The sequence below is a fragment of the Homo sapiens genome, chromosome 15 (assembly GCF_000001405.40).
Source record: "Homo sapiens chromosome 15, GRCh38.p14 Primary Assembly".
NCBI classification, from domain to species: domain Eukaryota; kingdom Metazoa; phylum Chordata; class Mammalia; order Primates; family Hominidae; genus Homo; species Homo sapiens.
The window spans coordinates 31896674-31907782 of NC_000015.10; the positions used below are offsets into that span (position 1 = coordinate 31896674).

Genomic DNA, 11109 nt, shown 5'->3' on the forward strand with positions numbered 1-11109 from the left:
CTCATGATAGATGTATCCATATACTCACCTATAAGTGTATCTATCTATCTATCCCTCTATCTCTATATTTGCATTAAGTAGACACAGAGAAAATATTTGTTGAATAAATGGAGATTTGATCTCCTATATCTCATGTATTTAGCCTGAAAAAAATGCTAAGATTCTCTTAATTTCATAGAACTGTGATATAGATCTGTGATACAGCAGAAGTAACCCTGCAGTCTAAAGAGAAGATCTGAATTCAGTTCTACCTTTGCTGTATGCTAGCTTGGATGACAAAAGGCAAAATGTTTCACTGTCCTTAACTATGACATATAAACAATGTCTATCCCAGAAGACAGTTTTAAAATTAAATATACTAAATGGTACAGAAAATATTTCTGATTCCAGTAATATTTTGCTCTGTACAACTTAAAAATTCTTACAAAGCTCTGTAAATACTGTATAAAATAGAACAGACATGTTTTAAATGCATAGGTGAGCTTTCAACAAGGAAGAAGAAATCCTTGTGTGATAGAATCAATAAGGCAGCTTAAAAACCAAAAAGGAAGCATAGAATGCTGTAGATAGGTTTCACATTTTTTCTTCTAATGTTGAGACCACATTTTTCTGGGAGTAGACCACTTATAAGGATTTAGGTGGGTTTCCCGCAGCAGAGAGCTCATGTTCTGGGTCTGCTTGGCCAGCCAGAATGCCCCACCCCAGCTGTCAAGCATGGGGGATTACAGAAAATTCTAGGCCCCACAGGAGGCAGGTTTGAGTACTAGAACTGAGAATTCTGTATGAATGGTAGACCAAAAAAGAACTGTACCTCTAGAAAAGAGTGGCTTAGTAAAGAAATATAGTCATTAACTTAGAAAATCAACCAGAAAACTTACCTATCTCTGCTTGGACTCTGGGTAAGAGAAAAAGTTCAACACACATATTCAAAGCCAGAACTTGCATTGCATGGATTTGTGGAGATCAAATTTGCAATAACTGTGTCTTTCCAAAGCTCATAATCTAAAAAAACTAATATAAAAATAGATTCCATGCCAGTTATAGCCAAAATCTCTAAGCAGGAGAAAATCATAGAACAGTTATGTAGTAGATCTTACAGGAGAAAAATTTACATGTCAAAGTTATACCACATTTAAGGAAATAATCCACAGTGAATGAAAGACAGCAGAAACAATATATAGCATTAGAGTTCCCTAGGAATATTAGAACTGACAAAGACTGTAAAACTCAATTAGTATTTAAAAAGCAGATTTGACACAATTGAAGAGAGAAATAATAAACTGGAGGATAGGGAACAGGAAATTACTCAAATGCAGTATAAGAAGATAAAGAAGTGAACAAAAGATTAAGAAGCACCAAGGACAGAATGAATAAATCTAACATGTCTACTTGAAGAAAAGGGGAATAGCAAAAATGAAAGAGAAACAATATTCAAAGGGATAATTGTAAAAATAATGGAAAATATGAATTTTTAGATTCAATATTCATAACAGATCTTGGGACAAATAATTTAAAATATATTCATATCTGGACATGTAATTGGGTCAAAATTTGTATATTATTTACTGTATTTACTTTTATTTAATGTAATTCTCAAGCATTTTCTCATATGATAAAAACAGTTGTCCCACAATTTTAGTGTCTGTTCAATATTCTAATGTCTCATGATTTATTTACTCACTCACTGATATATAAATATTTATGGATTTATCCCTCAAACTAATATTTGTAGAGGTAACATGATGTTGCTCATCACTGCATAGAAATCTTCATACATTCAAAATTTACTTAGAATTCTAAAAGCAGAACTATTAAATGATATAACCTTTTTACGGCTCTTAAATTTTTTTTCAAACTTCTGGATTAATCTGACAAACACTACCTCAGGTGATATACATCGATATCAACAGTGATAAGTCATTTTGACAGTATGTGATGAATTGATATGATATGGTGTGATGAGAATGACCTGTTACCTACGTGGTTTTCCTCCCAAATTCATGTAACTACAATATAATCATTTCAGTTGAAGCACATTATTTATACTAAATACCTGACTTGTACTCCTCAAAATGATCAAAGTCATCAAAACTAAGAGAGACGCAGTCTCATTCTGTCACCCAGGCTGGAGTGCAGTGTGTCATCTCTGCTTACTGCAACCTCTACCTCCTGGTTTCAAGCAATTCTCCTGCCTCAGCCTCCCAAGAAGCTGGGATTACAGGCACCTGCCACCACACCCTGCTAATTTTAAAACTAAGAAAATTCTGATTAACAATCACAGCCAAGAGAAGCCTAAGAAAACATGACAGCTGCACATAATGTGCTATCCTGAATGGGATCTTGGAATATAAAAAGAACATTATGTGAAAATTAAGGATATCTGAACAAAGTATGGGATAGCTACTATAAAGACACATGCACACGTATGTTTATTGCAGCACCATTTACAATAGCAAAGACTTGGAACCAACCCAAATGCCCATCAGTGATAGACTGGATAAAGAAAATGTGGTACATATACACCATGGAATACTATGCAGCCATAAAAAAGAATGAGTTCATGTCCTTTGCAGGGACATGGATGAAGCTGGAAACCATCATTCTCAACAAACTAACACAGGAACAGAAAACCAAACACTGCATGTTCTCACTTATAAGTGGGAATTGAACAATGAGAACACATTAACACAGGTAGGGGAACATCACACACCGGGGCCTGTTGATGGGTGGGGAGCAAGGGGAGGGATAGCGTTAGGACAAATACCTAATGTAGATAACGGGTTGATAGGTGCAACAAACCACCATGGCACATGTATACCTATGTAACAAACCTGCACGTTCTGCACATGTATCCAAGAACTTAAAGTATAATTTAAAAGAATAATAATGTATAGCTCAGTGTAAAGCCATCTGGGCCTGGGCTTTCTTTGTGGGAAGATTTTTAATTACTAATTTAATATTTTCCCTTGTTATAGGTCTATTAAGATTGTCAACTTCTTCTTGAGTCAGTTTTTGCAGTTTGTGTCTTTCAGGAAATTTGTTTATTTCACTAATGTTATCTAATTTGTTGGCATACAATTTTTTCATGATATTCTTTTGTAATTCATTTTTATTTCTATAAGGTCAGTAGTAATGTCCTCTTTTTTGTTTCTGATTCTATCAATTTAAGTCTTCTCTTTTTAAAAATTCTGATCAATCTAGCTAAAGTTTTGTCAATTTTGTTGATACTTTGAAAGAATTAGGGTTTGGTTTCATTTATTTTCTCTATTGTTTTTCTTTTCTGTATTTTATTAATTTCCACTCTAATTCTTATTATTTCCTCCTGATATGGTTTGGATAGTTGTCCCCTGCAAATCACGTGTTGAAATGTGATTGACATTTCACATGTGAAATGACCCCCAGTGTTGGAGGTGGGACCTAGTGGGAGGTGTTTGGGCCATGGGGTCAGATCCCTCATAAATGGCTTGATGCCCTCCCTGTGGTAATGAGTTACCAGGAGATCTGATTGTTAAAAAGAGTCTGGGACCTCCCTCCTCTCTCTTGCTCTCTCTCATCATGGGATGTGCCTACTTCCTCTTTGCTTCCTCCATGATTATAAGCTTCCTGAGGCGCTCACCAGAAGCCATGCTGGTGTCCTACTTCACAGCCTGCAGAACTGTGAGTCAAGTAATTTTCTTAAAAAATTACCCATCCTCAGGTATTCTGTAGAGCAATGCAAAATGGATTAACACAACTGCCTTATGCTTGCTTTAGGTTTAGCTTGCTCCTCTTTTTTCAGTGTCTTAAAATGTAAGTTTAGGTTACTGATTTGATAACTTTTTTCTTAATATAGACATTTGCAGCTCTAAGTTTCCCTGTGTTATATGATACTGCTTTTACTGTGTCATATAACTTTTGATATGCTTTGCCTTCTTTTTCATTCATATCAAAGTGTTTCCTAATTTTTCTTTTTATTTACTTTTTGACCCATTGACTATTATAATAGCGGTACTCCCCAAACTGATCTACAGATTCAATTCATTCCCAATCAAAATCCCAACAGCCTATTTTGCAGAAATAATAAGCTAATTCTTAAATTCATATGGAACTGCAAGGAACCAGAACAGTCAAAACAATCTTGAAAAAGGAGAATAAAGTAGGAGAAGTCACACTTCCTGATTTCCAAACTTACTACAAATCAAGAGTAACTAAGACAATGTGATACTGGCACAACGATATACATATTTATCAATGCAATGGAATTGAGAGTAGAAATAAACTCAGATATCTATGGTCAACTAACTTTCAACAAAGGTCTTAAGACTATCCCACGGGGGAGGAATAGTCTTTTCAACAAATGTTGTTGGGACAACTGAATATTCACATGCAAAATACAATTTTTAAGAATCTATGATTAAAGGTGGAAAAAAATATTGGGCTAGAGGTCATAAGATTTAAAGTTTAGCCTTGGCACTGCCAGTAAATAAGAGTGTAACTTTGGAACAATTATTGTACCTCTTTAGGCCTCTATGAGGGTTTTGGAGCAAGTAACATGGCTGCTCAGGTCCTATCCACATCCAACCTCTTCTTAGCCTGTGATGACTGTATCTCATGAGCTGTGATGATGTAGTGACAGAACAGGTGGCGCACCTTGGTCCAAAGCCAAGAATACCATTTTCACATATTCAGCACTTTGCCCCACCATCTGATGCTACTTGGCCTCCTTTGCCTGACCCTAGATCCTAGAGCATTCCTCCAGGGATAGGCATTTGATATGGTTAGACTTCGCGTCCCCCCCCAAACCTCATCTTGAATTGTAATCCCCAGGTATTTAGGGAGAGACCTGGTGGGAAGTGATTGGATTATGGGGGCGGTTCCCCCATGCTGTTCTTATGATAGTGAGTGAATTCTCAGGAGATATGATGGTTTTAGAAATGCTAGTCTTTCCTGTGCTGACTCATTCTCTCTCTTGCCACCCTGTGAAGAGGCGCCTTCCGCCATGATTATAAGTTTCCTGAGGCATCCCCAGCCATGTGGAACTGTGAGTCAATTAAACCACTTTCTTTATAAATTACCCAGTCTTGGGTATTTCTTCATAGTAGCATGAGAATGGACTAATACAGCATTTCAAAGTGTCTCCACAGTAACTACATTGTAGTTTATAACTTTGAGCAATTCCCTCATGTAGCCCTGTTATGTGATAGAAGGCTTTTATTTACTTATTTATTTATTTTTCCAGGCTGTAAGGCACAGAATGAGCCTTGTTCAAGTGACTATAAGGTGAAAAGTTTTATGTGAAAATATTGGTACATATGGAGAAACACAGGGTGTGTGATCAGCAGGGGATCTGGTCTTCAGGGGAAGTCACATACCTATTCAGGAGCCCATGGAAAGTCCTCACAGAGGGTGGTAGGCCTTGAATCAGGCCCCTGTGTCTGGCTGGTGGCTCAGGTGTCAAGCCTAGTGTTGTATCCAGGGTTGCACAGTTCCATAGCACAATGTGCAGCAACTCACCAGAAAAATGCATCTCAGAAGGGGGCCAAGGGCTTCACTAGACCTTGGAATCCCATGGAATATCAGAATGATGGTGACTCATAAGAATAGCCATTCTGTTTTGAGTAGTCACTTTCCAAACACTAGTTCCAACACTCCCATCCATGCAGGATATATGTTACTCTCCCTGTTTTCCAAATGAAGAAAGAGAGGCTCAGAGAAGTCAAGTGACTTGCTTGGTCACAGCCAGTGGGTTTCACAGTCAGGCCTCTGCCCTGATGTGTCTGACTTCAATCCTGGATATTTTGCCCTGCACAGTCTAATCTATTCTACTCAGACCTTGATTATTTTGGACCCAGCAGATGGTGTAATAATGTCTTGTTCTAAGTCATGATGCAGTGGAGTGAGTTGTTATGGCCTGAGTTGTGCCCCCTTCCCCACATTCTTATGTTGAAGTACTAACCTGCAGTGTGACAGTATTTGGAGATAGGGCCTTTAAAGAGGTTAATTAAGGTTATATGAGGTCATAAGGTGGGGCTCTAACACAATAGGACTGATGTCCTTATAAGAAAAGGAAAAGACAACAGGGCTGCAAATGCACAGGGAGAAGGCCGCGAGAGGACACAGCAAGGATGCGATCATCACAAGCCAAGGAGAGGCCTCAGGAGAAAACAGCCCTACTGAACCCTTGATCTTGGACTTTCAGCCTCCAGGTTGAGCACCTGGATTTCTGTGTTGTTTGTTTGTTTTGTTGTTGTTGTTGTTGTTGTTGTTGTTGTTGAGATAGAGTTTCGCTCTTGTCACCCAGGCTGGAGTGCAATGGCACGATCTTGGCTCACTGCAGCCTCCGCCTCCTGGGTTCAAGTGATTCTCCTGCCTTAGCCTCCTGAGTACTTGGATTACAGGCGCCCACCACCATGCCCAGGTAATTTTTGTATTTTCAGTAGAGATGGGGTTTCACCATAATGGCCAGGCTGGTCTCAAACTCCTGACCTCAGGTGATCCACCCGCTTTGGCCTCCCAAAGTGCTGGGATTACAGGTGTAAGCCACTGTGCCTGGCCTGGATTTCTGTTTTTTAAGACCCCTACTCTATGATATTTTGTTATGGCAGCCAGTTCTCAACACTGAGAGAGAGAGTCAGGGTCAAAGATCTCTGCAGTCCCTTCCAAAATCTAACGTTGTGTCAGTCGAGAATGTTTGAACTTTTCATCTGCTTAGATCTCTGGACTACATAAAACTCCTAATTCCAACGTCTTGTTTAGAACCTAGCGGTTCACCTAGCCCTTGAGACTGCAGGAAAAGTGTCCAGCACTCATTCTGGGCACTGTATTTGGGGATTTGCATTTGTCTGTCCTTCCGCAGAGGGTCCTTGCTGTGCAGAATGGCCTGGGGTTCTCTGGGTAGGTGGCGCACAGCAGGTCTTCTGAAAGTGGCATTTCCTGCCATAGGAACGAGCATGGAGACTGTCCATAAGGATATCCTGGGTCGATGTCAAAAGCCCTGGGGCCCAAGTAACCAAGGGAAATCCCTCAAGACTGAATTGGGGGTGGAGTGCTGTATAACAACCAGATTGGTGAGTGAGGCTGCCTCATTAAAAAGATAGGTAGGTACAGTGCACCACAGAGGTAGTGATGTTCTGCCCCCGAAAATTCACATGATGGACCCAGGTGTGTGTTTGTTATGTTTTTAATATTATAAATGCTTGAGATACACTTTAAATTTCACAACTTCACCAACATGTTTCTTCTTCCTATATGTTCCCTCCAAATACTGGTGAGCCCGGGCGCCTTCCAGCCCAGCTCATCAGCATACACTTTGAGTACTTCTTTCCTTGCCGTAGGGAGAAGCTCGGTGATTTTCACCATTGAGAGCCAGCCTGAGAGCCCAGAACAGCTCTGGTGTGTGGCTTGAGGGCAGAGCCCACAATATCCCCCACCCTCGCCTGCCACAGAAATTCATCCCATAGGTGAAGCAAGGAGGCTCCACTCACTCCGCGATTAAGATGCAACCCCAGCCCAGAGCAGTGTGAGACAATGTGGAAATGCTTCGGGTTGAACTGTTGTATCAGCTTAGCTCTTAAGGAATAGAAGAAAGAGATAAATCTTGATGTCTAAATTTGAAGGGAGTTGGAGGGCTGAAGGGCTGTATGTGGGCAGTGTGAGGAAGTTAGGAAGAACTGGGTCCAGGTGAACCCACTGTCTTCCCCCAGTGTCCACAGTAGTCTCTGGGAGCCCTGCGTGGAGGGTACCCAGAGAAAGGGGGACCCAGGCAAAGCCCTTTGCCCTCCACTGTGCCTCTCTGCAGCAGGAAGAGAACAGAGACCATACAAAGAGAACACTCATACTAAACTTCTTCAGGTCCTTCCATTTCCCTCCAACCAGCCTACCCAGCCTCATGCTTCTAAAAAAGTCCCCCTAAAGCCACCGACATGACTGTACAGTCAGGACCGGCCACGCTGGAGAGCTGCTCCAAAACTTCAGGATGAAACCTGGTCTCTCAAAGTAATTCAGCCTGTGATTTTCAGCAATTCAAAACTCTATTTGTTATTAGTGCTACCAATAAATCTGAGAGAGACAAAAAGCCCCTTCCAAATGGCATTTCAATATTTACCTCTGCAGTTGGTAGTATGTTGATTGTTGATACCCAGAAACAACAGATTTCTTTTTCACAATGTGTCCAAACTGTCCCGCCTTGCCCCACTGAGGCATCAGCCAGCACCTCCTGCAAATAACATGCACGGTAGAGCGTAGAGAGAGACTTGGCATTTCAGAGTCTACTTTAAATTTTATCAGCATTACACTTTCGAGATTCAAGTTTGAAGCAATAGTCTGAAAGGAAAGCATTTTGAATTTCAAAAGCTGGGCCCTGAGAAACAATATGCCTTCATACTGAGTTTGTTTTCTTCACCCTGAAAAACAGATGATGTTTTCCTGGGCTGGGGAAGGGATGAAAGAATGTCAGAGGAAAAAGCAAGAAGTGGAGTCAGGAGATCCAGGAAAACGTGCAGGGCTCTCCCCAGTGCCTGAACCCTAGCAGCGAGGACAGGGTGGAGACAGTGGAGAGGCGGGGCGGAAAGGTGGAGCTAACCCCACTTCCTCTGAGTGCCCTCCCTTCTCCCAGTGTGGAGAAGGCTCTGGCTATCCTGCCACTTGGACTGACGGACACACACAGTATCACAGAGTTCCTTCCCACTCCAGCGTCGCCTGGGAGGCAGTAAACTACTTCCCCCTTGTCAGGAGTCAGGCACCTGAGTCCTCCCATGTTCCCTCTGGCCGCAGAGTGCCACAGGCTGCAGAGGGCTCCTTCCAGACCCCTAGGAGTGGCCTGAAATAGCTGGGAGGATGCTGTACTGGAGGGGCCCTGCACCCAGGAACAAGGGGTGACTGAGCCTCGCCCTGCACACACTGACGTTCACCCTGACAATGCAGCCTCAGGGATGACAGACAGGAGATGATGGGACAGACACCCAACCCCAGCCACCCCTAGGTCATGGCACAAAGGAGCCATCCAAAATAGCCACACTCGGTGGCAGCTGGGACAAGACACACACATACGTGCATGTGTGCATGTGTGTGCGAGGGAGACCTACGTTCCTTGGAATTTCCTTTCCGCCATTGGTGGAAGGGAGCTTACAAAGTAACTTCTGTTGTATACACATAGAGCTACATTTTTTGGAAACTTTGGGATTCATGTCCTACTAGTTTCTTTCATTTATGCTTTACAGCTAATGTTAGGCACATAAAAAAAGATATTATTGAGAGTAAACTTTATTGCCAGCACTTTAGAGTACAAATAGATGTAATCTATTTCCACCTGCAGTTGAAAACTTATAAAAAAAATTCACTATGGAGTGAATATTTTACTGCTATGGGAACTGTAAAACAAAACAAAACAAAAAAAACCTGTAAAAAATCTGTAAAAACAAAACAACTGTTAAAAAAAAACAAAGACACATAAAATTACCATGTTTTTAAATCCCTGAGGCAAAACCATCAACAAAATAAATAAATCCATTAGACTTTCAAATCACAATAATAATGCCCACAATGATTTTCTTCTGCTGTACCTATAAAACCCCAAATAAGAAACGATCTCATCTATAGATGTAAGGCGATAACAATTCACTCCACCTAGCGTGAAGCCCACAGTGAATGTGGAAGCTCAAAGAGACATTTCTGTGCCCACTGGCAGAAGGGCTATCAGGGGATGTGACATTTGCTCGTGGATGTCAACATGGAGAGAAAGCAAATCTTCAGTTTAGAAGAACTGGGTTAGATCAAAGCCACTCACCCTTATGCAAGAGAAGGGATCTCTTTTGAGAAGCCCGCAAGTCACTAGCAGACAATGAAACCATGAGAATGGCCTGGCGTGGTGGCTCACGCCTGTAATCCCAGCACTTTGGGAGGCCGAGGCAGGCGGATCATGAGGTCAGGATATCGAAACAATCTTGGCTAACATGGTGAAACCCTGTCTCTACTAAAAATGCAAAAAATTAGCTGGGTGTGGTAGTGGGCGCCTGTAGTCCCAGCTACTCCGGAGGCTGAGGCAGGAGAATGGCGTGAACCTGGAAGGAGGAGCTTGCAGTGAGTAGAGATTGCGCCACCGCACTCCAGCCTGGGCAACAGAGCAAGACTCCATCTCAAAAAAAAAAAAAAAAAAAGAAAGAAACCATGAGAATGGACATGCGTTGAATGAGGACTGCTACCAGGAATACTTTACATGTCCTATCAGTGTAATTCCTGCAAAGGCCCCTGTGAGTGGGCTTGGTCTGCATTTATTATGCAATTCCCCAGGCGTCCTCACTCTAGCAGGGGAGCCAGGATGATGCTTCAGGTCCCCAGGCATCAGTGTCACCTCAAAACTGCCCCTGCACATTAATGTTCTCTGCAGACTCACATCTCATGGACCTAGCCCAGTTCACGGCCTGTGACCTGGCTTCTGGGGCTAAATGCAGGAATGTCTGAACCCTCTTGGTTTCTGCCATAGAAAGCAAACCCCTGCCTCTCCGAGACTAGAATTTCCGCAGAGTCTCTGTCTTAGTCTGCTCAAACTACCATAACAGAACACCATGGACTAGAGGGCTTAAAGAATAGACATGTATTTCTCACAGTTCTAGAGGCTAGGGGTTGGGAATGGGGCGGACCAGGGTCCACTTCTGGTGTGGGCCTTCTTGGATGCAGACCTCTGCCTTCTCACTGAATCTTACATGGCAGAGAGAGAGAGAGCAAGAGCAGTCTCTCCCTACAAAGGCACTAATCCTATCCTGACAGCCCCACTCTCAGGACTTTAGTGATTCACCTAATCACTTCCCAAAGGTCCTCCCTCCTGATAACATTGGGGATTAGAGCTCCAACAAGTCAACTTTGAGGGGACACAAACATTTAGTCCATAACAGCTCCAAATATAGAAAACGGTGTCAGTTGTGCAACAGCCACAAACAAACAGTGAAGACCCCGATTCTCCCTCTCTCCAGCAGGGGCGGGCCCGTGGGTGAATTTACTTGAGTGGCCAGGATCTCATGTGGTACAAGATGCGGCTTCCTGGCACGGTTGGGAGTGTTAGGGATAATTCAAATGCTGGGAGGTTGGGAGCCTCAAAAGCGCAGACTCTAATCCTCACAGAGGGTCCAGCTTGCC

At 42.2% G+C, this 11109-nt stretch overlaps 1 annotated feature.

The window, feature by feature from the left end:
- Nucleotides 8317–8818: an enhancer, noted in NCBI's record as "H3K4me1 hESC enhancer chr15:32197193-32197694 (GRCh37/hg19 assembly coordinates)". NCBI's record gives its function as "activates a minimal SCP1, AML or CMV promoter by ChIP-STARR-seq in naive H9 embryonic stem cells {active_cell/tissue: H9 hESC(naive)}" and the evidence as "EXISTENCE:reporter gene assay evidence [ECO:0000049][PMID:30033119]".